Below are 25,941 nucleotides of genomic sequence, written 5' to 3'. Positions count from 1 at the left end.
ATATCTATGTTGCATTACTGTGGCCCCATTAACTGCTTTCAGTAGGTCATTCATATTGTGCTCTCAACTTTCATAGACAGTTACCAAAAGAATTTGTATATTTCTCCTACATTTGTATGCTTCTCCAATGAGAAGCAAGCAACTGATTACATTCACCTTTTTTGCTTTGGCTGCCAGAAAGCTCTACATTTATGGCTTAACTATTGTATTGTGTTAATACCTCATAACCTGCAGATCCTTGTCCTTACTTTTTCTTTGGTGTTAACCTCCTAGTCTAGTTAGTTTCGTTGGTCCTCATTTTTTTATATATGTTTTTTTATTTTATTGTATGAATTTACTGGAAGCCTCTAAAATTACATGTTTATAAATAAAGCTGTATTGATTTATTTCCTTTCTAAAGATGGTTGGAGGATCTATGACATTTTGGTTCTCCTTAGGAGGTTACTATGGTTTTTAGTTTTCCTTGCTCACATATCCATTTACCACCTATGGAAATTACTTAGATTGTAAGCTTTTGGGGGACAAGGACATTTTTATGGTGGTCCCACAGTGCCCAGCATCTAGCACTTTCTATATAATGCCCTGTATTGCATAGTTACAGGATAATAAAAGTAAAAAGTAATAGTATTTTAATTTAAACTCCTTGGGTCACAAGGATTTTTAATCTGTACTGACTCATGAAAGTCTTGTCAATCAGAAAGAATGAGAGCTCCATCTACATATAGACTTTACACACTTTATCATAAAGGAATGTGTTATGTAAGACTGAGTGATAAACTTTCTCTAGTGATCAGGTGGGGGAAAGTAGCTCTGCTACCTTCAACTGCTAATAAATTTAGCTTCATTTATCTTTGTCTGAATCCTTATTTAATACCATGGACTCAGACTTCCTACACTACGTTCTATAATAGGGAGCATATAACAATCAAAATTACAAATGCCTATACAAAATCTTTACAATTGAATATAAAGAAAGTCTACAGAAACATTACTAGATTCATGAAAGTGAATAAATCTGTGTATATTTCAGTTATGGCAAAACATATAATCTAAGACTACATTTATAGTTTGGATTAGCCAAGTTTGCTGGGAAGAAAATGTTTTTCCCAGTGTAATGTATGAGGCAGGTTGTTGGAGACACTTTCTTCACGTGGCTCAGACTGCGGTCCAGCTGCTCAGGGCACTGTTTCATGGTTCTGTCCACAGCGCGTGCTCACTGCGTCATTTCTAAAGTTATTCACTTGTACTTAATTTCAAGCCATTTTTTTTTACTTTGAAAACTCTGAACGCCTCATTGAGGACAGTACATACAATGTGTGCCAAGGTCTGGTTTCAAAGTTTAGCTGTTTTTGAGTTATTTGACTGGACAAAAGGTCGAAAGATATCTTTCACAGCAGGGAAAGTGTAATTTTCCATGTCTTTATGATGTTTAGAAATAGTTGGAGTGATTTTTCCCTAAAATTTCCATAAGTAAATAACTTTTACCCGTGGCATAAGCTTGATTTTGAGATGCCTTGGCAAAAAATTTGAAAATAACCCTCTCCCTACCTCCAGTCTCCAGCCTCATCCTCAGTATGCACTCCAGCAATAAGGGAATTGGAGGGACCCCAGGTTAAAATCAAGACCTTTCATGTTTGGATTAAAAGTATGACGTATGGAAAGTTTTAGCTTCTAAAAACTTGTCTTTATCATTTAATATTACGTATGTTTTAGAAAAAAGCTGGGAGAAGAGCTCTGGTGTCTGAGATCACTCTCTCCAAATTCCTGTAGGGTCCTGCTATAATTCCTGATGGTATTTGCATCTCACTTATTCATGTACCTTACAGCCGACTTTCTTTTCCACAGATAGAATTGGCCTCCCACTTTAGGACAATGTGTCCTCCAAATTTGCTAGGGCAACTCCATACCTTACTTTAACTTCTTGCAGGACCTAACTCTCCAATCAGTCGTTAGTGTATATTTTTGTGTACTTGGCTCAAAGTCTTTCAGTGTGGATGTGGACCTTCCGGAGAGTAATCTCCTCCAATGAAGAGCAAATGGTCATAAGGAACATGTACGAGCAGGTATTCCTGTTAAGCCTTATGCTCCGTCTTTCACCCATCCACTTGCACAGGGGACTAGTTTCCTTTTATGATCCTACCCAAACGTTTGGCCTTTTTGGAGAAGTGAGGGAAGTGAGGGGTAGAATTTTTGAGACTCAGTTCAGGGCCTTTGATATGCTGTTCCTGTCCTTCAACAGATGTATCAAGTATCTCTGGGTCATCCCCTAAGACACGTTGGTGATGAACAATTCCTAGAACTGGTCTAATTTTTTTTTTTTTTTTTTTGGATAACAGCACAGTTTATATTTTTTGGGCATCTTCTTGAACTGTACAAGTATATTCAGCATCATTTCTCTGCCCTGTCGATCTTTTGTCTTTTCTTCTGTGCTGTCAATAACCTGTTTGGCAAATGTCTACTTCCATTGTCCACTCCGTGAGCAGTGTACACCGGTCTCCATCTCCCATTCCTGCAGGTCCCTTCGTGGAAACGGCAAAGTGCCTGACTGTAGTCCTCTCATTCTGGACTGACTCTGCCATCCACCAGCCTCTTCTCCCATTTCCCAGGGCTTCCTCCCACATCTGTCTATTTCATAGATCGCCTCCTCCTCTTAGGGAAGTTGAGTCTGTCGAGTTCCCCTGCACATCGCCTGCCAGTCCAAGTCTCCTGCCCGCCTCCCGCACGCCCTCCCGCGCCGCGGTGTCTGTGGGTCGGTTCCCAGACGCGCCCGCCGGCTCTTGGGCCTCCACTGGCTGGACGTGGGTCTGTCCCGCGCCCGCGCGTCCGTCCGTCCCCCACTTGCCTCCAATTCGGCAGGAACTTTACACCAGCCAGGAGGAGAAGGACGGTGCGCGCGGGTGCGGGTCTGGCCGGCTGGGGCCGGCGCGGGGGCGGCGAGGGGCGCCGGGCGGCGTCGGCTTGCGAGCGGGCCGGGGGCGTCGCGGGCCGCCCTGCCCTATAAGGGGCCGTGCCGCCTCCGCCGCCGGGCGGGTGCCGGGCGGACCGCGGCGGTGGCGGCGGCGGCTGCGATTGGCTCAGGCGCCCCATCCGGGGACTGGGCTCGGCGCTGCTCGTTCGCCCTAAAGGTACCAATATGGCGGAGGTGAGCAGGGAAACCGGGCAGGAGCAGCCGGGCTGGAGCGGGCGCCCGGCGGCTCCCCGCGACCCCCGAGCCAGCCTGGGGGATCCGGGGCTCTTTCCGCTGCCCCATGAGGGGCGGCGTGGCGACGCGGGGGTCGCGGGGCGGCGACTGGCCGTGGCGGGGCTGGCCGGGGGGCGGGAGCGGGCGCGGGAGCGGTCTCCCTCCGGGACTAGGCCGCGGCGGCTCCGGCCCCGGTCGGGCCGGGCGACCGAGCCGGACGGAGGTGGCGGCCGGCTGCAGTGAGCCCTGCCCCAGGGACGAGGCAGTGCCGTGTCCCCGGTCGCTGACGCGGGCCGCCGGCGCCTCCGCGCCTCTTCCCCGGGCCCGGGTGGGTGGAAACCGGCGGAGCCCCCCCTCCGCGGCCGGATCGCAAAGAGGGGAGCGGGCTGCGCCACTGCCCTGCGGGAGTCGTGCGCTGTGCCCCCGGCCCACCGGGCCCGGGCTGCGGCGCGAAGGAGCCGCACGCTTCACTTTGCTGGGGGCGCGGAGAAGAGCGGGATGCGGGGCCACCGGGCTTCTCAGAAGAGCGGGACTCCCCACCCCGCAGCCCGGGAGGTGCGGGAGCCCCTGGGGTTAAAGGGCAGACCGAGACCCTCGACGCCCTCTCCAGGAGAGCGGCTTGATAGCTCCAGTTTTCTCTGGGCTGGAGGAAGGAAGGCTGGGCGAGCGAAGCTGCCCCGGCCATGTCCCCCGGGACTGGTGAGCTGGGGGGAGGGGGCGGTGTGGCAGGAGCCCCTGGGCTGGAGCTCGCTGGGGCGGGGGGCGCGCTGACGGTCCAGGGAGGGACTGAACACTCTGGAAGGAGCCAGCATCCCTGGAACTGAGAGGAGCTGCATCTCTGGACTCGAGAGAGAGGATGGGGGGCTCGCGCTTTGGTTTGGGGGCGAGTGTCCGATTCGAGCTGGCCTACGCTGCAGGGGAAGAGATCGGCTTCGGAGTTGGGGCTCCCGGGCCCCAGGGGCGAACTAGGTGCTCAGAACGCGAGTTCGTTCCAGAAAAGGGTGTTACGTTTCGAGTTGTTTGGGGCTTCGGAGAGCCGGGTGGGATTTGGAGGACTCCGGAGATGCCAGGGATGGGGGACTGATGGTGCCAGCCGACTGCTCTGGGTTTTGCTTCTCTGCTTGGAAACTTGCTGAGCTCCAAGAAGCGACTTGGAGTTGCCTCTCAGACTCCGGGCTTCGTCCCGGGTCTGTGAGTTTGTACACTTGGGACTCGGGGAGGAAGGCGAGGCAGCCAAGAGGGGGCCCGAAAGGGGCCGGGAGCGATTCGAGTGAAGCTACGTCTTGCACTTTTGGCAGCTGCGGAGGAGCGCTCGACTCCGCCTCCTCTGCGCCCTGTTGCCGGCGCTGCCTCTTTCCCTGGCTGTGCGATCTAACCTCACGTTTTCTTCTCTCTCTCCTAGGCTTCTTTTGGAAGTTCGAGCCCAGGTTTGTCCTATTTTCTTACGTCTTCGGTGGTTCCCAGTGGGTAATGTGGGCTCAAAGGTCTGTTGCTAAAGGATTCCCAATAGAAATGTATCCTGCAGGTTTTTCTTCATTGATTTTTAAGAGTTTCAGTGTGCATTTAGTAAAGTTTGGGGAAGAAACAGTTATACTGTTCTTTGTTTTCTCTTGCATGTTGAAAAAGTAACTGTTACAAAGTTGCTAAGACAAGCGTTCTTTTAAGGAATATGGCTTTAATTATTACATATCTTATTTTTCCTCCGAGCCTGAAACAGTTAATCCCAAATTAACTTGACACCAACTTTAGCAATTTAGATTTTAACTTCGGTTTCTTCTAGAGATTGAGTAATTTGTCAGAACTCTGGGACTACTTCACTAACTGTAACCCCTCATCTCCTCTTACGTTGTTTCTTTTTCATAATTAAATGTCTATGAGTTGTGTTAAAATTGGAAGTTGAGAGGTAAAGCTACCTTAATAAAAAAGACAGAACTTCCAAGTTTGGCACAGAAAAAGGGTGATTTTGACTTCTGAGCTGAGACGATCTTAGGTCATCTAGTACAGTGTTTCTTAACTTTCCTGAGGTCAGAAACCCCTGTCAGGATCTAATGAAAGCAAGGGATGTGTCCCAGAACTCTGCACATATGCATAATTACACACAATCTGGGGTTTGTAGAATCCCTGTAGCAGGTCCATAAGGACCTTTCCTCATGTGCTAATCATGTAAGGTATCTTTGTTTCAGTTTCTCATTTCCTTTCTAGCTTACCTCTTTGCTGTCTTCCCTCTCCTAGTCTACAGGAAAAGCACCTCTGAACTAGTCCAACTCCATTATTTTACAGTTGAGGAGACTTTTAAATAACTTTCGTTAGTGGTGGAGCACAGATGAGCTCCTAAATCTTCCATTACAACTTGTTTCCATAGAGTGAATAGTCAGTTTCCTTACACTATTACTTTTTGTATCTGCTCCACCTTCAGAGCCTCACTTGACTGTCATTTAAGGTATTATAACACCAAGTAGAAGAAATTTGCAGCTATTTTAAAAATAGCTGTCTATATCTTTAAAATTCTAAAAATTTTTGTTAATTTTGAGATGAACTTTTTTGTTATAACTGATTTTAGGAAAATATATACATGATGTCAAACAGCTGGATTAATGGAATTTTTCCATTTGGTATCACTGACTTCTTTTAAGAAGTTGCACTCTAAATAAGCCAAAAGACAGTGTAACCTGTTTTTAATCAATTAGCCTCTTTTTGTTTTTTGTTTGTTTGTTTGAGACGTTATGCAGGCTGGAGTGCAATGGGGCAATCTCACTGTAACCTCCGCCTTTGAGGTTCAAGCTGTTCTCCTGCCTCAGCCTCCCAGGTGGCTGGTACTACAGGGATGCGCCACCACACCTGGCTGATTTTTTTGTATTTTTAGTAGAGATGGGGTTTCACCATGCTGGCTAGGCTGATCTTGAACTCCTGACCTCAAGTGATCCGCCTGCCTCGGCCTCCCAAAGTGCTGGGATTAATTAGCCAGTTTTTTAAAAAGAGAATTTTAGAGTTGGAAGGGACTTTTGAGGTCCTTTCAGTCATCCCCATGTATTTTGCAAATGGAAGACAGGAGCTAGACCTAGAAAGTTTAAATGACTTCCTTTAGGTCCCAAAAAGCCAAGGACAAAGCTGGGAGTAGACCCTCAGGTCCTTCGATTTTTGACCCTTACTGAATACCTTCCATGTTAAAGGGGAGGCCTGTTGTGCCAAGTGATAGAAGAGTAACAGAAGAGCCCAGAGGAGCTCTGCTACCAAAGAGGTGAAAGAGTCAGCATCTATTTCATTTCTGCCTCTTTGGCATACCATGGAACTTGCCAAGAATTCCTCAAAAAAAGAAAATTTGTAATGGTGGATGTGAGCTAATTAATAAATATTCTTATTTCTTTTTTGTTGTTTTTTTGTTTTTTGAGATGGAGTCTTGCTCCATTGCTCAGGCTGGAGTGCAGTGGTGTGATCTTGGCTCACTACAGCCTCGACCTCCCAGGTTCAAGCGATTCTCCTGCCTCAGCCTCCCACGTAGCTGGTGGTATTACAGGTGCCCACCACCATGCCCGGCTAATTTTTTTGTATTGTTAGTAGAGACAGGGTTTCGCTATGTTGACCAGGCTGGTCTGGAACTCCTGACCTCAGGTGATCCCCCCACTTCGGCCTCCCAAAGTGCTGGGATTACAGGCATGAGCCACCACCCCGGCCTATATTTCTTTTTAAATTAAACCACATGTAAATCAACAAGTTTTTAAATGAGCAGATATTTTTCAACATTAAGGAAGATAACATAATGTAAACCTGCCAAAAAATAAAGTCCTGTAGAAATTGTATTTTTAGAACTAATTAGAGTTCTCTGAACCCAGAATCAAAAATAATGAATTATGTGTGTGGTTTTTCCATAGTGAAAAATCTTTGGCCCAGTTCAGTGTTTTGGTAATGATCTCACACTGTCCTGAAATGTTTGAAATTTTAAAATATTCAGTAGCTTGACTAAGAACAGATTAAACTTTTTATGTTGAGTATGCTTCCATCCACTTCTTCCTTCCCCCAACCTCAGTTTCTGATACTTTCCTTCCTTGCTCTGAGGGTTACGGGTCTAATTGAATTGGATACTAGAGTAAAACAAGTGGAGAAAATCCTGTTTTTTTATAAATTTGATTTCATTTCTTTGGGATTATGGATTTTAGTCATTTCTTCTCTTGGTTTTTGGAGTTTCCTATTGACTTCATATTTGCTATTAAAAGATATTATAGTTTTATAAACAAGTATGAATTATCCAAAACAACTTGCAATGGATATATCTTCCAAAACCTTCAGATGTGATTTTCTGTATTCCCTACACATAATCCTAAGAACTTTGTTAGTAATCCAAAGTAAAGCAAAGTCTTACAGTTTAATGCTTGTCTGATTAATGCTAGGGAACTTGAAGTACTGTTAGAGAAATGTAAAGTGATACAATGCTTTTAAAAGCTGAATGGCTGTATAGCTGCTTCACAGAAACTTATATTTGTTTTATAAAGCAGATTTTTGTTGTGTTTTCTGTCTTTATTTGAGGGTTAGAATTTGAGTAAAATTTATATTATCCTGAAGTGTGCATCTTAGTGTATAGTCGATTCTTGTGAAATCTTCCATTCATGGAAATTTAATCTTTCTGATATTTTGCTATTGCTTTTAGACAGATGTATTAAATGATAAGCAAGTTTGACTTTTTCTATTAGAATGTTTCTTTAAAACCATGCTGCTTAAATCACTTTGTTGTTATCATAAGTTGTTTTCTTGTGGACTAAACCCCTTATAAAAGTGTTTGTGAATAACTTTGCCTTGTTATTTTGCTGATTTAGACATATTTTCAGAATCATGGGGTCTTAATTTATAACCTATAAATTATATAGTAAATTCATTTAGTAAAACCCTCATATAAACATGAAAAGGGACTGGCAGAAGAACACAAATTTTTATTTTCTTTTGTTAATAGCCTTGTAAATGTGTAAAGTGATTCAGTTTGTTTTATTCCAGTTGGGTCTTTGTCTTCTGAGGATCATGATTTTGACCCCACTGCTGAGATGTTGGTCCATGACTATGATGATGAAAGAACTCTTGAAGAAGAGGAAATGATGGATGAGGGTAAAAACTTCAGTTCAGAAATTGAAGACTTAGAAAAGGTATAAGATTTACTTTAATATACAAACTTAACAAAGATTTTGAAATTCTGTTGTAATTTTAAAAATAATCTACCTGAAATAAAAATAGGATCATAATCCTTTTTTTTTTCACTCTTATTTTGGGGGATAGCCTAATAAGTATGCTTTCATTTAATTTTTCAAAATTATTTTGTATCTGTTAACTTAATTTTTAAGCTTATATCAACACAGTGAAGTAGGTACACGTAGGCATTTTACAGATGAGAAAATTGAGATACGGAAAACTATAAGCCCTAAGATTATTTCTGAATCCTAGTCTAGCCCTCTTTCCATTGTAACTACTATTCTGCTAAGGGTCAAACTTGAATTTGTATAAGTACTGTAGTAGATACAGAGAGAAGCCTTTTCCTTCAAATAACTCATAATCTAGTGGAATATTTTAAGAAAATTGAAAAAGATTTACTGTATTTTCAAATATAAATTGGTAATATCCCATCCCCTGCTCCTTTAAAAGTCATCTTTGAAAAGGTTGGCAAGAGTGAGTGTAGTTTGTAATTTTTTAAGCCCCAAGTCAATATAAATTCAAATGAACTGTATTTTCATGCATTTATACCAGGACTGTATATAGAGAGGTCCCTATAGGGGTCACCTTGAAAACGTGTAGGATTTATGCTTACTTAACCATATTTGAAAATTTCTTATCAGCCAGAATAACAAAAGCTTTCAGAAATGATACTTATCCCCTGAGTTTCTTATACCTCTTTTTCTTGAAAAGGGCAAGCACATTCTTATATATATCATCTCCTCTGCTTAGTAGCTTTGTGAGGCAGGAGTGGAGTATTATTTTATTTCCTTCTTCATGTTAATACACAGGGAAACAGAAGAGTGACTTAACTGCCCACTTGCTCTGATCTGTTGTTCTTATCTGTAGTGAAGTACAACTGTATACATGTGGTCTCTATTCTTTTTATTGATGTTTAATGAAACATGAAAATGAATAAAAGAAACAGTAGAGACACAAATATAAAGAGTAAGGATCAAGCTTTTAGAAGGAATTTTAAATTATGTTTTGATTATTTCTATATCACTTGAAATAGTGTATTCTCTTAATCTTTTTTAGTGGAATAGGGATTTAGGTATTGGTGCATGTTAACAGTCTTAGGGGATTGATGTTAATGTTCATTTTCAAGAATTATAAGTTTTTATGTTCATAGTAAATAAACTCAGTTGTGTGTTGACTGTAATGTGGCCCATATTTTGGTGTTTACAAATTTTTAGTACGTCGTGTTATGGAAAATAAGGTAAGTACTAAAGCAATTTTCTCGTAGTAGCACTTTGAGTATAGAATATGTGGCTAGATTTTAGTTACTAAACATACTAAAATAGGGTTTATGTAATATCTTTATATATTTTAATGTATGCATATTACTGCCATCTGAGAGCTTTTAATAGACCTAGATTTATAGGTAGAACTTTTTTTTTTTGAGACGAAGACTTGCTCCATTGCGCAGGCTGGAGTGCAGTGGCACAATCTCGGCTCACTGCAGCCTCTGCCTCCTGGGTTCAAGTGATTCTCCTGCCTCAGCCTCCCGAGTAGTTGGGATTACAGGCATCCACCACCACACCTGGCTACTTTTTGTATTTTTGGTAGAGACGGGGTTTTGCCATGTTGGCCAGGCTGGTCTTGAACTCCTGACCTCAGGCAGTCCACCTGCCTCGGCCTTCCAAAGTGCTGGGATTATAGCATGAGCCACCACACCTGGCTGGTAGAACTTTTTAAAGAGTTCTTATTTCTACTTTTATTAATACATAATTACCCCCTTGATGTTCACTGTGAGAAAAATTCAAAAATTCAGAAAAGCACAAATGAGAAAGTAAAATATCACTTTTTCTACCATTTAACTTTAGTATAGGTTTTTCCTTTTTTGTTAAAAGAAAAAAAGGCATTTAGGCTGGGGGCAGTGGCTCAGACATGTAATCTCAACACTTTGGGAGGCTGAAGTGGGATGATCGCTTGAGCCCAGGAGTCTGAGACCAGCCTGGGCCACATAGTGAGACCCTGTTTCTACCAAAAAAATTTAACAATTAGCTGGGTGTGATGGTGCATGCTAGTAGCCCCAGCTACTTGGGAGGCTGAGGTGGGAGGATCACTTGATCATCCCAGAAGTTCAAGGTTGCAGTGAGCTATGATTGTGCCACTGTATTCCAGAGTATGTGACAGACTGAGACCCTGTCTGGAAAAAAAAAGATCACCAGACATTTAAACAAATTATATGTATATAGTTTTGCAGCCTGTGCCTTAAGGTATCAGACAGGCGTTAGTTACTAACATTAAAATGCATCTCAGCCTCATTTGGTCCATCCAGTGATACCATCAGTTGTGTCAGATGAATACTGGCATTATTTTTCTAGGCTCAGAGGCCTTGTTGATTGTAGGATGTACTGTTGATTTCTTTTTTTTTTTTTGAGACGGAGTCTCGCTCTGTCGCCCAGGCTGGAGTGCAGTGGCGCAATCTTGGCTTACTGCAGGCTCCGCCTCCCGGATTCACGCCATTCTCCTGCCTCAGCTTCCTGAATAGCTGGGACTATAGGTGCCCGCCACCAAGCCTGGCTAATTTTTTTTGTATTTTTTTTTTTTTAGTAGAGACGGGGTTTCACCGTGTTAGCCAGGATGGTCTCGATCTCCTGACCTCGTGATCTGCCCTCCTCGGCCTCCCAAAGTGCTGGGATTACAGGCGTGAGCCACCGCGCCCAGCCTACTGTTGACTTCTAAACAGTGCAGGTGGTGGAGGAACGCTTGTATATGAAGTTTGCACTTTAGTATCAGGCTACATCCTGATTCTGATATGTGAGGGAGTGCATCATAGGATCAAGGAAATGATGGTATGTGAGGAAATGGAGGTGAGAGGGATTAGGTGATTTGTCCAAGATATTGGTTAGCAATTAGTGGATCTTTTGCCCTAAATCTGGTTCTCTTCCTGATATAAATCCTTTGACTTACAGAACAGTTCATTTATAAGTGTGACTAGACTCTACTGTGTCCCTTAAAATGTAAATAGGTTCAACAAAATACCCAAGAAGAGGAAGAGAAAAATCCTTATACCCGGGATAAGGTGATGGATCACACTTCTAAGCTGATTTAGCTACCACAGATCCTTACAGACTTTGAGACTTACTAATTCAATTTTGAAAAAATTGTTTTTATGTTTTAAAGGACTTAAGTGCTTTATTAATAGGCTCTCAAAGAGAGTTCATTTGTGAAGTGCTTCAGAGACTAGATTCACCTTTTCCAGTTTTGCTTTAAAAGTTTTGGTGCAAATGATGTGTGTTTTAGCATCAGCCCTCTGGCCACCCGTGTCATCCCTTGAACTTATTAATGCAGTTTCTACGGAGATGGTCATCTTGTCCCTCAACAGATGGTCATTCCTGTGTCTTTATAGAAAAGCGGGGTTTTCTTGAGTGGATGCTGGGAACCTCCTGTCTCCCTCACATGTACAAACTTTTATATTATTCTTTCCCTCCTGTCCTGCAAAGTATCTGTGATATCCCAGGCTAACCTCTAGATTCTATCCCTCCTGCCCTCAATTTATTCTTCTACCTTTTTTTTTTTTAAATTTCCACATAAGAATCCTACTAATGCAGATCCCACATTTGGAAGAAATTCTCTTTTGATCTTGTGTTGCCCTCAGTCACTCTCCTTTTGTAGCCAAGTCTCAAGTCATGTATGTACTTTCTTCCCTCCCGTTCAGTCTTTAGCTTGGCTTCTTCCACCATGCTATAAGGCCACCAATAATTACTTTTTTAGAGATGGTCTCACTCTGTCACCCAGGCTAGAGTGCAGCGGTATCATCATGCCAACTGCAGCCTTGACCTCCTGGGCTTAAGCAGTTTTCCCCCACTCAGCTTCCCAAAGCCCAGGGATTACTGGTGTATCCCACCACCCTGGCTAATTTAAAAAAAAATTTTTTTTATAGAGAAGGGGTCTTGCAATGCCCAGGCTGGTCTCCAACTCCTGGGCTCGAGCAATCCTACCTTGGCGTCCCAAAGTGCTGGGATTACAGGCAGCAGCTACCGCGCTTGTCCCAGGTCACCAATAATTCCTGATTGCCAGATACTAAGATTTCTTGTCTTTCTCTTGCTCAGTTTCTTTTTGGAATTTGACCCAAGTGACCATTCTTGATTATCCATACTTGTTTCTGCCTTAATTTAAGTAATCCTACTTTTTCCTCGTTCTATTTTCTGGCTTCTCCCTCTTTCTTATTTTATGATCTTTTCTTTCTTTGCCCGCATTTTAATTAACATTCTCCAGGGTTTTGGCTATTATCGTCTCACTCTGTGTGCCTTTTCTGGGTGTTCTCACTCAAACCCACTGCTTTAACTTTCACCTTAAACTCATCGTTACCATCCCATCCTTAAGTTTATCTTGTGCTTCTGTCTCATAGTGGTGCTATAGTTACCTAACTTCTCAGGCCAGAAATCTGGCAATCCATTTAGACTCCTGTGTTGCTTTCATTCCTTGTATCAAGTAACTCAAGAAAGGGATCTTTCCCTAAATTTCACTCAAATAATCCCCCTCCTTAGTTCAGGCTCTCATTCTACTTCCCTTACAACATTATTTCCAAAATACAAATCATGTTTAAGAATTTTCAGACATACCCATTGCCCATAGTGTAATACATCTGAAAGTTCTTCTGATAAGCATAGATCCCTTCCTCTTTTCTCTCTACCCTCTCCGTGGGTGAGCTCATCAACTTCTGTGGCTTTAAATATCATCTAGATGCTAATGAATGCCAGATTTATATCTTTAGCCCAGCCTGGTTCTCTGAGCTCCAGGCTCCTGGCCAACCTGACTTTTCTACTTGGATGTTTCATAGTCCTCTTAAACTTAACTGTGTCCTTTGCAGAACTCTTGTTGTTGTTGTTTTTTTCTTCAAAAACCTTTTATTCCTTTAGTATTCTTTATCTTGGCAGAAGTTACCACCATCTAGGCAATTGCTCAAATAGAAAACTGGGGAGTCCTCCTTCCCTTTCCCTCCCACGTCCAGTGACCCATTTGGTTCCACCTCAGAATATGTCTCTTCTCTTCACTTCTCTCCTCTTGTGTATCAGTACCCTCACCTAGCATGAGGCTTTTTAAGTGGTTTCCCTGCTTCTCTTGTATCTCTCCACCCTTCTTAACTTTTCTTCATGCAGGTGTTCAGTATTTTAAGAAGAAATAATGCCATGGTACTCCCTTTTTATGAGTCTCTAATGGCTCCTCATTGCCCTGGGAATGAAGTCCAAGTTCCTTTCCCTGGCCCTGAGGCCCTTTGCGATCTGTCCCTGCCTCTCTTTCCATTCTCTTGAGCCATTCTTCATTCTACTCACCAAACTTTGGCCACTTGGCTTAGCAGGGAACCACCTTCAGGCCTCACATATGTCTTTTTTTTTTGCCTGGAATACTCTTCATGGGACTGGCCTTCTCAGACTTCAGGCCTCCGCTGAAGATTGCTGACTGTCTTTCCCTGCTACCCTCTGGAAGTGGGCCCCGAGTGTTACTCTGTATCTCAGGGCTCTATTTGTTTGTTACACTCATCAAACTTGGCAGCCCTATATTTGTGTATTGTCAAAAGCCTTGTCATCTTTCAAGACTTAGCTCAGTCTTCACCCTCTGTGCATACCTCCATACTCCATACCAGTATTCTTGGGGTGTAGGTCTGCCCTTGTCTATAGTCACAATTGAATATTGAAGCCATCACATTGTATCATAATGGCTAACTCATCCTTACATCCTTACAGACTTTGAGACTTACTCCCACTAAGTTCCTCCCACTAAGACTGAATTCCTTGTGAGCAGGGATTCTTCAGTAAATTTCATTTGTATGTCCAGTAGCAAGTAGCTAGTAGCCCTCAGCCAAGCACTTAGAACTGAGTAAATGATGGGAAGGTGGACCATCAGTGCATAAAAGGTGAAAATTGCCACTCCCCATTTCAGGGAGAGAGTGTGAAACTGTGAGGTTCTGCGGAAATACTACTGACAGGTGCTTGGCAAAGGCTGCAACCCAGGCACCTCTTGTATTAGAACCAATATGAGCCAAAGGGAATGGGCTGCATGGACTCTGCAAGGAGCAAGATAGGACTGTAGAGAGACTCTAAATTTGAGTCTTGTTAGCTTCAATGGATTCTTTGGTTTGGAAGAAAAATAATTCATTGAAGTTTCCCCATGGTGTAGGTGAACTTCACCCTGTTCTGACCATCCAATTCAATTTATGCTGATTCCATGCTCCCAGAGGACTTTTGGTTGATTTAAATCCCAAGCTAAAAAAGATTTTCATGATCATTTATGGTCATTAGAAAGGCGTATGTCTACTACTGCAAATTTATAAATTAGTGTTCTATCATATACCTGTTTGTAAGTTCATTGAGCATAAATCTGTTTTAGTTAGACACAATAAATTATGTAAGTTCCATACCTGCAAAGGTGAAGGCCAAACTTTTGCATCCCCTGTGGGCCCTGTGGGCAGCCAGCTGGCCCTCTAAGGAATCATCACTGGCTCTTCTCAGGTCACTTTGTGATCAACTGTGGGCATGTTTTGCACACTCTGCTTTAGTGTTTTCATGTTGTTTGCTTTACGGATTATTTTATTTTAAAGGGAAAACTAAACCATAAGCAAATTTTAAAAATCTCTTAATTGATGGATACAGAAATCTTAAAAATGTTTAACAGATTAACTAGTTCGTGAGTATATTGTTTTGAGGTTATTTATTCGAATGATAAATAGTTCTTTTTTTGTATTTTTAGTAGAGACGGGGTTTCACCATGTTGGCCAGGCTGGTCTCGAACTCCTGACCTCAAGTGATCTGCCTGCCTCGGCCTCCCAAAATGCTAGGATTACAGGAGTGAGCCACTGCGACTGGCCTTGAATGATAAATAGTTCTATACACTTTAGTAGTTAAAACATAGTCATGTGTCACTGAACAAGGGAATACATTCTGAAAAAGGCGTCATTAGGCAGTTTCATTGCTGTGTGAACATCATAGAGTATGCTTAGACAAAAGTAGTTAATGTAGCCTACTACACACCTAGGCTATATGGTGTAGCATATTATTCCTACCACAGCTGTATGTGCATCCTGGCTGTATATGCAGTCTGCATGTACTGAATGTTACGTTGTGCATGGTAACACTTATTTTCACATGGATTCCTAGAGGGGAACAGTGACTTGGTGTCACTGTGAGGCATGGCGTAGGTATTCATAACATAGGCAGCACTGTAGCCAGGGTATGTAATTTTATTAAAGCAGTGCAGCCAGTGAGATAACTTGGGGAACTGGGATTCAAACCCAGAATTAAGCCACAGTTTTCTCACCTGTGAAATGGTGATAACAGTATAATCTTCCTCAGACAGTTGTTTTAAAAAAACTGGTATAAAGATAGGAGATGTAGTAAGAATATAAAAGGATAATTGTTCTTTGAACATAAATATTGCTGATGTTAGTAAACATTCAGCAAAGGTTTTCTACCAGGTGTCTTCTAATTAACATGAAGAATAAAGCAAGTGGTCAGCTGTTAAATGCAAGGAAAGAAGCTGTGAATTACAAGTTATTGATTGATTAATTGGAAATGTTTTCAGGGCAAATCTTTATGTTAACTTGAAAGCAAAAAAAAAGGCACTAAAGCAAATATTTGAGGAATTTTTAAAATAGTAAAATGCTTCTAGAAAATAAAAACTAAGGTGTTAATTGTTAGGCTGTTGTTTATACATTAATTATAGCTCCAGGTGTTTGGTCCTGTTTTCTGACAACAGCACAAAAAGAAAAACTGAAACTTGCCTTTGATTTGTTCTGCTGTTTTGATAATGTGCTTTCTGAACCTAAGGACAGTACAGTTTACCTGCAGTTCAGTATTGTGACATCTGCTGAGTCCGTGTTTATGCCCTGGCTTGAACAGGAAGGAACCATGCCTCTAGAAGATTTACTGGCATTCTATGGCTATGAACCTACAATTCCAGCAGTTGCAAATTCCAGTGCAAATAGTTCCCCAAGTGAACTGGCAGATGAACTACCAGACATGACACTAGACAAAGTAAGTGTGAGCATTTGAAAGAAAAATTCAGGGTCTGTTACCATTGACTGCTTTTACTTCCATTTAAAGTATTATTTAATAATTCTTAAATGTAAACTTCTTGTTGACCCATTGTGCTTATTTTGGTGGCTGATTTAAACTTTGTTTGGCTTTGATCACCCTATGTTAAGAGTAGTATTAATAGCAGCTTCATGGTACTTTGCATGCCTGAATATTCTCCCATAATGTTTTCATCTTTCCTGTGTAGACACATTGTATCTAAACTTAGATTTTGCCTTAACTTCTTTTGATCCTATAAACACATAAAAGCCTTGATTAATAAATCCCCCAGAAGCCTTCAAACCAAGCTGGCTTAGGCGTGGAGTGGTTGGAGAGAAGTTCTGTTTTCTTGGCTCTGGGAGTGACAGCGGCCGCAGCAGCCAAGACCGCGGTGATCCATCTCTAACGTAGGCTGGTTGTGGGGAGGCCTAGTCCCTGCTGAGGAAAATTCACACGGCCATGGCCTCTGCTAACAGATCCCTGGGAACCTTTCCTTGCCTTTCAGATCTCAGGCAGGGAGAGGAATCCACATCTTGGAACCTCTTCCTGTGAGTTATATTGTTCCCACTTTTAAGTCAATGTGATATTAATGTACCACAGACCTTAATGACCATAGTCATTCAACAAGTATTTATTGAGTGGCTACTTTGTGCTAGGCACAAGGATGACTGTATACTTACATAAAAATTAATTCAAACTTGTTTCTTTTAAAATTATGTCAGTAGTCAGTGCTGTTCATTAGTCGGACTTTTAAATTATTGGAAGAGTGGAGGTTGGAGGCATTTTTTCAGTTTTATTATTGACAGAAAATGAATATAATTGTTAACCACTTAAAAGTCAGACTGTTTTTGTTGTAAATTCACTAAAAATTAGCCTACAGCTTTAGATAAGCTCTCTGCATACCCACAAATTAGGCAATTGTTTTAGTATATGGTTGCACTGATTATCATTTAATAGTATATTATTGAATATTATATAATATATAATATTAAATATTTATGTACATGAAGTAAATCATAGGAGAATTTCATATTTCTCTCATAAGGTTCCAACTGCTTCTTAATGATATGTTATAAAAAGATAGTTTTCTTAATTAATGAGATGTAATCATTTCTAACTGTAGCACTGCCTTCTTATTCTTCCAGGAGGAAATAGCAAAAGACCTGTTGTCAGGTGATGACGAGGAAACTCAGTCTTCTGCGGATGATCTGACGCCATCTGTGACTTCCCATGAAACTTCTGATTTCTTCCCTAGGCCTTTACGATGTAAGAAACCCAGTGGATTACTGATAAATAGTAACATTGATACTGTAGCTTTAGTACATTTTATTGTGTTCAGTAATTTGTGTCAGAATATTCTAATATTTTATGTGGTTGAGATAAAATACTTCTATAATTTAAACAAGATTATAACCTTTCTTTTGGGATAGAGGTGAACTAATATGCCATTTAAAAATTGAAATATTTGGCCAGGTGCAGTGGCTCACACCTGTAATCCCAGCACTTTGGGAGGCCGAGGCAGACAGATCACTTGAGGCCAGGAGTTTGAGACCAGCCTAGCCAACATGGTGAAACCTGTTCTTTACTAGAAATACAAAAAATTAGCCAGGTGTGGTGGCATGCACTTGTAATCCCAGCTACTTGGGAGGCTGAGGCACGAGAATCACTTGAACCTTGGGGGTGAAGGTTGCAGCCAGCTGGAGATCATGCTACTGCACTGCAGCCTGGGTGACAGAGAGAGATTCTGTCTCAATAATAATAATAATAATAAGATAAAATAAAAATGGAAATATTGACTTTATTTTTACAAGGCCATTTTCCTTCTCAAGACTCATCTGTTGCTATGGTAATCATTCTTAGTTTGACCACAAAATTTTATAGACCTTTATTTGAATTTCTATTAAAAGGCTCCTGCTCTCCTGGTTTTGAAAACTTATCAGTGCTCAAAAGGTATTTTTACTTTTAATGATTCATCTTTTTCCTATTAGTTCTTGGTGTTACCTCTTAATGTTTATCAGTAATATTTAAAAGGTTTTGGGGTTGGTTGTGTGGTTGCAACACTTTGGGAGGCTGAGATGAGAGGATCACTTTAGGCCAGGAGTTCTAGACCACCCTGGGTAACATAGCAAGACCCTGTCTCTACAAAAAAATTTTCAAATAAAAAACTTAGCTGGGCATAGTGGCATGCACATGTAGTCCCAGCTATCTGGGAGGCTGAGGTAGGAGGATCACTGAAGCTCAGGACTTTGAGGTCACAGGGAGCCATGAACAGGCTACTGCTCTCCAGCCTGGGTGACAGAGTGAGACCCTGTTTCTAAAAATAAATAAATAAAATGTTTGGACTAAAATAATTTCTTAGATGCAATCTCACTTTTTTTTTTTAGGTATTTTTATGATAGAAGAACTGTTTGGTCAATAAGTTCAAATATCCATGCATTCGTGTGTGTACAAAAACAGTTTTGATGGACCTGATATGCAACTCTGTGTGTGTATCTCCTGGATTAGTATAATCAGAACTCCAGTGTTTTACTTTCTTTTTAAGGTGACCACAGTGGTTTCCTTTTACCTCCCAAACTATTTAATAGTATACCATAATAATTATCAGGATACTATACACTTTTTTTTTTGAGATGGAGTCTCACTCTGTTGCCCAGGCTGGAGTGCAATGGCGTGATCTTGGCTTACTGCCACCTTTGCCTCCCAGGTTCAGGCGATTCTCCTGCCTCAGCCTCCCGAGTAGCTGGGATGACAGGCACCCCCCACCACGCCCGGCTAATTTTTTTGTATTTTTAGTAGAGCCTGTCGGCCAGGCTGGTCTTAAACTCCTGACCTCAAGCGATCCACCCACCTCAGCCTCCCAAAGTGCTAGGATTACAGCCATGAGAGCCACTGCACCGGCCAGGATACTATACACTTTATTAGGATTTTCAGTGTCTCATTTTGACCAATGTCGATTGTGAGAAACATGCAGGTGGTTTAGTATACTTATGCTGATCTCACATATTTAACAACATTTTGTAAAATACAACAGGCATTCTTCCAGGTTCTGCAAAAATAGGCAGTAAAAACCTTTTTAATTTTTGTCTTTTAAGCAAATACTGCATGTGATGGTGATAAGGAATCAGAGGTTGAAGATGTTGAAACAGACAGTGGTAATTCACCTGAAGATTTGAGGAAGGTAAGCTGAGTTAATATAGTGGACTAAATTGGCTTTTAAAAATATTTCTGAAATGATTTATGATAATTTTGTTGTTTTGACTTGTAGAAACTGATTAATGATATGGGGCTTTTTTTCAGTATTTTTTTTTTAATAAGTTATTTTTACCTCTCAATTTTCCTGTAGGAAATAATGATTGGTTTACAATATCAGGCAGAGATTCCCCCTTATCTTGGAGAGTACGATGGTAATGAGAAAGGTAAGGAAAGCTTTTGATTTTGATAATGTTTGGTAGATAAGGTTACCACTTGATAAGTGTATTTAAATATCTGGCTTTATACCAGCCTTGGCAATAGATAGATAGATTTGGGAAACATGCAGAGTTAGGATTTTTAGGCCTGACTTAGGAAAAATGTATCAAAGTTAATCACTAGACTCAGAGTTTCCCCCCACCCCCAACCCTGCCCAAGGCACACATAGTGCTTATTAGCCAGTGTGCTCAGTGCCTGTTCGAATAATGGGGAGCCTCCCACGGTGCTGTACCTTGGCCTTCATCCTGCTTCAGTAGAAGTGGGTAGGATCTCATCACCTGAGATAATGAGAATGTTAAGATATAATCTTCTGGAAAGAAAACTCTTGAGGGAAAAAGAGACTGGAAGAAATTCTCCTTCCCCAGCCCCAAAAGAGCAGGAAGTGAAATGTAAGGATCTGCTTTCACTTGTATACTCCTAATTATGTGTAATCAGTTTTTCCTCATGTTTTTGGTGCATTCCAACTGTAGTTGGTTTTCAAAATATGGAGGGGATAAGGTAGTAGGATATAAAAATATAGGTAAACCTTCTTAGTTGAACTTGGGAATATTTCCATGGGTGTTTGGCCTTTTCCCTAAGTTGATTTATCCTTGTGAAGTCACAAGGGCAAAAGCAGCACCCAACACAATACTTCCTGAGTCCTTCTTTTTTCCTTTCCTCCATGCCAGGTCATCCTCCATTTAAAGGAGGGGAGGAGTGGTTACCCTGGGGTTGTTAGCCATGGCAGCCACTAGGAACACCGTTTTCCTAAACTGCTTTCAAAGTGTTAAAAGACAGTTATCCCAGGGGAAGCAAAACATAGCTGATGATGTTCAGATGTGCCAGCCTTCTCACCTCACCACCCAAATGCCACACTTGGCCTTTGAGCCAAGTACATACTCAGCAACTGTAGGTCCTTAGGTCACACATAGTAGAGGTGATATTCTGTCAGTGCTGCAGATTGGAGGGAAGGTGTACTTTCTCTGTCTTTTGAGGGAATAAACCCAAATTGTTTTACCTATTTCACTTGTGACCAAAGAGTAAAGAAAGTTCTAGGAACTTCTCTCAAAAGTCAAGTCTTACTGCTTCACAGGCACACTTTATTTTTAACTTTCCTTCTAACTGGCAATGACAATGCCTGCCTCCTACAGTTGGGATGATAATGCCCTTATCATGGTCCCTGGTATCTGGTAGTGTGTTCTCGGTAAATTATTTTTATTAGCTATAGTCAGTATTTATTATGCACTTGAAGAACAGATTGCACTTGAAGCACTGGACTAAATACTTGGGCCATTCATATTACTTTATAGTGTAAAGTAGAAGCTTTGAGTAAAGTGGCAGAGTGCATTAATAAAACATAAACTTGTTTTAATGACATTTTGTTCATTAATATATCAGTGTCTTTAAGAGATTGTGGAAAGTTTACTTTTCTTACTGTTTCTCCCTCTTCCCAAAAACCTCCCTAGGGAGGTTTGGTTAATCTATTTTCTCCTTTAAATAAAAGTTATCTTGTTGGGAGAAAAAGTATACCCTTCTTAGGTATTTCCTTATTACCAGATATTTTGGGTTTTATTTATTTGCAATTTTGAACCTCTAGAGATTTCATAGAGCAATTTAGGGATTTCAAGAGAAAAGTCCAATGAGGTTATTAGAGAATTTACACAGGTTATTTTTGCCCCTTCATTAGAAGAGTATAAGATAACCACTATGGGGTTTTATATTAGACTTTACTAGGCATGGAGAGCCTTCAGATTGGTCAGTATATCCAACCACCAAAAAAGCTACTTGCTTTGGCCCCTGGAATCCTTGGCCTATAATAAAGTTAAATTTTCGCTTGTGTGTGAAAGGCCCTACTTAACGGATAATCGGATTACTGGTGTCTTCAAAGTTATTTACTTGTCCCACTGGATAGCCAATCAAGGAAGACAAAGAATTGTTTGTGTACATCTTTGAGTGCGTTCATGATTTTTAATGTGTTAATGGGATTTTCTTTATCAGTATATGAAAACGAAGACCAGTTACTTTGGTGTCCTGATGTGGTTTTGGAGAGCAAAGTTAAGGAATACCTTGTTGAGACTTCATTAAGGACTGGCAGTGAAAAAATAATGGATAGGATTTCTGCAGGAACACACACAAGGGACAATGAACAGGTATACTTCAGCTTCTGTTGAAACAGCAGCCAGTTTACAGTATCTTCTTGATTTCTTATATTTGATACAGATATTTTTAACATGTGAGGTAGATATCTTTTCTGATAAGAGTTTTAAAATATGCAAAATACTGGTTTAAAAAACCATAACCTTGAGTTCTAGAGATAACTTCACTGTAGTTTTGTATCTTTTCTTCTGGTCTTTAAAAAAATACCTTTACATATGTCTTCCTTGAGATGCCATTTTATATCCTTTTAATTAATTAATCTTATTCTCCTTTGCCATTGAGAATTATTTAATACCTCATTCTTGATGTCTGTATAGTCTATCCTATACTTTTTAAAAAAAATTTTTCCCTAAATTTCAACATACTGTGTACTTATCCTATACTTGTAATTCATTTATTTAAACATTCTCTGTGGTTGGACTTTTAGATTTTATAAGTGTATTCTTTGAATTATTCTCAACTTTATTTAGGAAGTGATTAAAAAGTAATGTCTATTAAGACTATATAAATTTGACTTAGGAGCATTTGTTAAGCGCTTGTGTACCTGTAGATTCAGAATACTCTCCTGATCACATGTGGGATGGGGGATGGGAACATTGCCTATTAAGCTTTTCGAATACCCCTAAGTTTTGCCCCTCTGAGATCATTCTGCTTCTTTCATATGCTTTTATCACTGAGAATCACCAACCCTGACTAATAAGTATTCAGAGGTAGGCAGACACAAACTTGAATTCTGAAGTAACATAGGGAAGTCATACTAGCTGTCAAAAAGAAATCCCATTGGGTTTTTGTATTGATATTTCAAGTCTATATTAATTTTAGAAGAATTAAAACCTTTATAACATTAGAAACTCAAATGTTTTTGCTTTTTTGAATATCACATGCATCTCAGTAATACCTCAATATCTTTTATATGTGTGTGTATTCAATGCTATTAGAAAGGGGAGCTCTATTTTATTTATTTATTTATTTACTTTTCCAAGATGGAGTCTTGCTCTGTCACCCAGGCTGGAGTGCAGTGGCGCAATGTCAGCTCACTGCAACCTCCACCTCCCAGGTTCAAGCACTTCTTCTGCCTCAGCCTCCCGAGTAACTGGGATTAGAGGCACACATCACCATGCCTGGCTAATTTTTGTCGCCAGGCTGGTCTCAAACTCTTGACCTTGTGATATGTCTGCCTCAGCCTCCCAAAATGTTGGGATTACAGGCATGAGCCACCTTGCCTGGCCCTCTATTATATTTATAATTGTATATTGTTGATGTTGAGAAATATCAATTTTTTAAAAAATGTATCTTAAACTGTTGAAACTACTTGACTCTTTCAGGTGTTTCTCAGGTTTTCTAGTTTGCTTTTTAAAAAATTTATTGGTAATATAATTTTTGACACCTCATAATTGCATACATTTATGGAGTGGTTTTCTGGTTTTCGGGTCATTATTAAATTACACTTTTGTTCCTTCCTTACCATTATTATTCCTGCTTTATGTCTTAATGCATTAGCTGTAACTCTGAGATATTTGGTAATAACAGTGATTTGGTGCCTGCTTTTGGTGGAAGTAATACATCTAAGGTTTTTACATTAAGAATAATACTGATCCTTGGTTCTACTGTCTTTATTACAGCAAGATAATATCCATCTATTTATAACTATTATGGGTTTTTTCTTTTTAAAATTAGAAATGAATATCAGATACTTTTTAAGCAGCTGTTGATTTGATTTTTTTAAATTGAAATTTAATTATACATATTTAGGTACACAGTGATGTCTTGATACACATAATGTATAGTGATCAGATCAGGGTAATTAGCTCAGAGATGATTTTTTTAAATGTAGGCTATTGATATATTAAAAGTTTTCCTAATATTGAACCATCTTCACTTCCTTAAAACTTACTTGGGAAGGTAGATAGATTATTTAACTTTCAATTGAATTCTGTTATTCCTGTTTATTATGTTCATAATTCCAAGCAGATTTAATAGGAATATATTCTAATTTTGAAAAGTGGCACCTTTCATAGTAGATGGAAATAACGGAGACCGTTATAATCCTAGTCTGAAGTGCCATGCCTATTATTCCAGGCCTGCTGCTGTTCCCTTATATTAAAACTAAAAGAGACAGGGAGGAAATGACATCAAGGGACAGACTGTAACTAATTTTTCCAAACTAGAAAAAGAAACATCTAAAATAGGGGAAACTCTAATCTTAGACCTAGTGTTTTTATTTGTTTGTTTTTAAAAAAAAGTCAAGAATGATACAGGCAGGTGACTTCTGAGAGGTAGCATGAGGATGAACAAACTCACATGGTACCAGAGTCAATCTGCATGATAGTTATATAGACTAAATGCTTGGGCAAATATACCTTCAAATGCCCTGAAATTAGAGAGGATTTCAGTGTTTATCAAGACTCCAATATTTATCAAAACTCTTACACCTGTTTTTTAAAATGCTGTTAGGTATGAACTTTTAATACTTTTTATTGAATATCCATCCCAGGCATTATATGAACTTCTCAAGTGTAACCACAATATAAAGGAAGCAATCGAAAGATACTGCTGCAATGGAAAGGCCTCTCAAGGTAAGAAACACTTGGGTTTAAGAGAGGGACATGACAGGGATGGTCATTTGGGGATCAGAATAAGCAAAGTATCCTAAGGGACAGAGCAATCCTGTAACACTTTTGTAAGATCTGGTTCAGCTCCATAGCAAATAATTTTTCCTTTTCTTGCACTCTATTTTTAGATGTATCAGAGACTGTTCAAACACAAATTAGTCACCCCCCTGCCACCTCTACTTTCTGGAAGAAATAGTTACAGAACAAAGCAGACCCCAGACATGACAATATGTCCAAAGTAATTAAAAAGAATGGTTTTATGATTTCATTGAAAAAAAGATTTTTTCTTTTTTTTTTTCAGCCAGACAGGAAATGAAAAGGAGATTAAAGATTAAAAAAGAAACATGTATAATATATTCCGCTGAATTTATTTCAAGAATTGTATTTTTAGTAATCATGTAATAACATTTTATAGTTCTTATGTTTTGTGTGTGTCAAGGAAAATGGTTAACTTCTATTTCAGTATTTTTTGTCATTATATAAATGGATTGCATGCACCATAGCTTTCATTAAATATGTGTAGAATGAAAATAATACTTAGTAATATTACTAGATGACTTGGGAAGGTATTAAAACTAAAAATAATACATTTAAACTTATGAATTGAGATAGTCTATTAAAATGTCTCCCTTAGAAAAGCTGCTTCTTTGAAAAAAAATTATTTTAGGCTCTCAAAACTCTCAAAATACTGGTTTCTTCCTTAGTTCAAACTATTTTTCACCTTTATTACGGACTGCTATTAATGGCTTTGGGGACCTGGTCTCCCATGTCAAATGAGACACTTCAGAGATACAGATGAGTAATAACTAATCTTAAGTCTAGGCTGTGACTCTTTGAAGACCTTCCAGGTCTCTGCCCCAAGTAGATACGGAATTCACCAACATTAACATCTGCTGGGAAATTGAATGGGATTTATTATTTTGAGAGCATGGACTGTTTCTTATTTCCTTTATATTTCCAGAGTATAGCACTCCACACACCAATTTCAAATAAATATGTGTTGATTATGCTTTACTTATGGTCTCTAATTAAAGAACTTGTGGTTTTGTTTTTTGTCTTTTTTGAGACAGGGTCTCACTCTGTCTCCCAGGCTGGAGGGCAGTGGCATGATCACAGCTTAGTATAGCCTTGATCTCGTGGGCTCAGGTGATCCTCCCACCTCAGCTTCCCAAGTAGCCGGAACTATAGGTGCCCGCCACCACGCCTGGCTAGTTTGTTTTTTTGTAAAGACAGGGTTTTTCCATGTTGCCCATGCTGATTTCAAACTCCTGGGCTCAAGTGATCCTCCTGCGCTGGCCTCCCAAAGTGCTGGGATTACAGGCATGAGCCACCG

The 25,941-nt window shown here is 40.3% G+C and overlaps 1 protein-coding gene across 7 annotated transcripts in view, besides 4 other annotated features; it reads left to right on the top strand.

Moving 5' to 3' along the window:
- Nucleotides 2,832–3,251: a silencer, noted in NCBI's record as "silent region_16028". NCBI's record gives its function as "represses an Ori minimal core promoter by ATAC-STARR-seq in GM12878 lymphoblastoid cells {active_cell/tissue: GM12878}" and the evidence as "EXISTENCE:reporter gene assay evidence [ECO:0000049][PMID:35858748]".
- Nucleotides 3,027–25,941, top strand: part of MIER3 (MIER family member 3) — a 32,607-nt gene continuing 9,692 nt past the window's right edge. For 2 of the 7 annotated variants that reach the window (NM_152622.5, NM_001297599.2), the window contains exons 1-9: nucleotides 3,113–3,142; nucleotides 4,584–4,608; nucleotides 8,165–8,310; nucleotides 16,219–16,353; nucleotides 17,538–17,658; nucleotides 19,485–19,570; nucleotides 19,736–19,808; nucleotides 21,838–21,989; nucleotides 24,491–24,572. In NM_152622.5, coding sequence (NP_689835.3) covers nucleotides 3,134–3,142; nucleotides 4,584–4,608; nucleotides 8,165–8,310; nucleotides 16,219–16,353; nucleotides 17,538–17,658; nucleotides 19,485–19,570; nucleotides 19,736–19,808; nucleotides 21,838–21,989; nucleotides 24,491–24,572 — 829 coding nt within the window. In that variant the 5' untranslated portion in view covers nucleotides 3,113–3,133. Of the gene's footprint in view, nucleotides 3,143–3,664; nucleotides 3,737–3,811; nucleotides 3,881–4,583; nucleotides 4,609–8,149; nucleotides 8,311–16,218; nucleotides 16,354–17,537; nucleotides 17,659–19,484; nucleotides 19,571–19,735; nucleotides 19,809–21,837; nucleotides 21,990–24,490; nucleotides 24,573–25,941 lie in introns of those variants that run through there. The other 5 variants (XM_011543217.3, XM_011543216.3, XM_047416840.1 and 2 more) reach the window with 4 other exon arrangements.
- Nucleotides 3,282–3,391: a silencer, noted in NCBI's record as "silent region_16027". NCBI's record gives its function as "represses an Ori minimal core promoter by ATAC-STARR-seq in GM12878 lymphoblastoid cells {active_cell/tissue: GM12878}" and the evidence as "EXISTENCE:reporter gene assay evidence [ECO:0000049][PMID:35858748]".
- Nucleotides 3,452–3,621: a silencer, noted in NCBI's record as "silent region_16026". NCBI's record gives its function as "represses an Ori minimal core promoter by ATAC-STARR-seq in GM12878 lymphoblastoid cells {active_cell/tissue: GM12878}" and the evidence as "EXISTENCE:reporter gene assay evidence [ECO:0000049][PMID:35858748]".
- Nucleotides 4,192–4,281: an enhancer, noted in NCBI's record as "active region_22575". NCBI's record gives its function as "activates an Ori minimal core promoter by ATAC-STARR-seq in GM12878 lymphoblastoid cells {active_cell/tissue: GM12878}" and the evidence as "EXISTENCE:reporter gene assay evidence [ECO:0000049][PMID:35858748]".

The sequence above is a fragment of the Homo sapiens genome, chromosome 5 (assembly GCF_000001405.40).
Source record: "Homo sapiens chromosome 5, GRCh38.p14 Primary Assembly".
In the NCBI taxonomy this organism is placed as follows: Eukaryota; Metazoa; Chordata; class Mammalia; order Primates; family Hominidae; genus Homo; species Homo sapiens.
The sequence above is the reverse complement of the archived record's forward strand: the minus strand, read 5'-3'. Positions and strand labels throughout refer to the sequence as shown.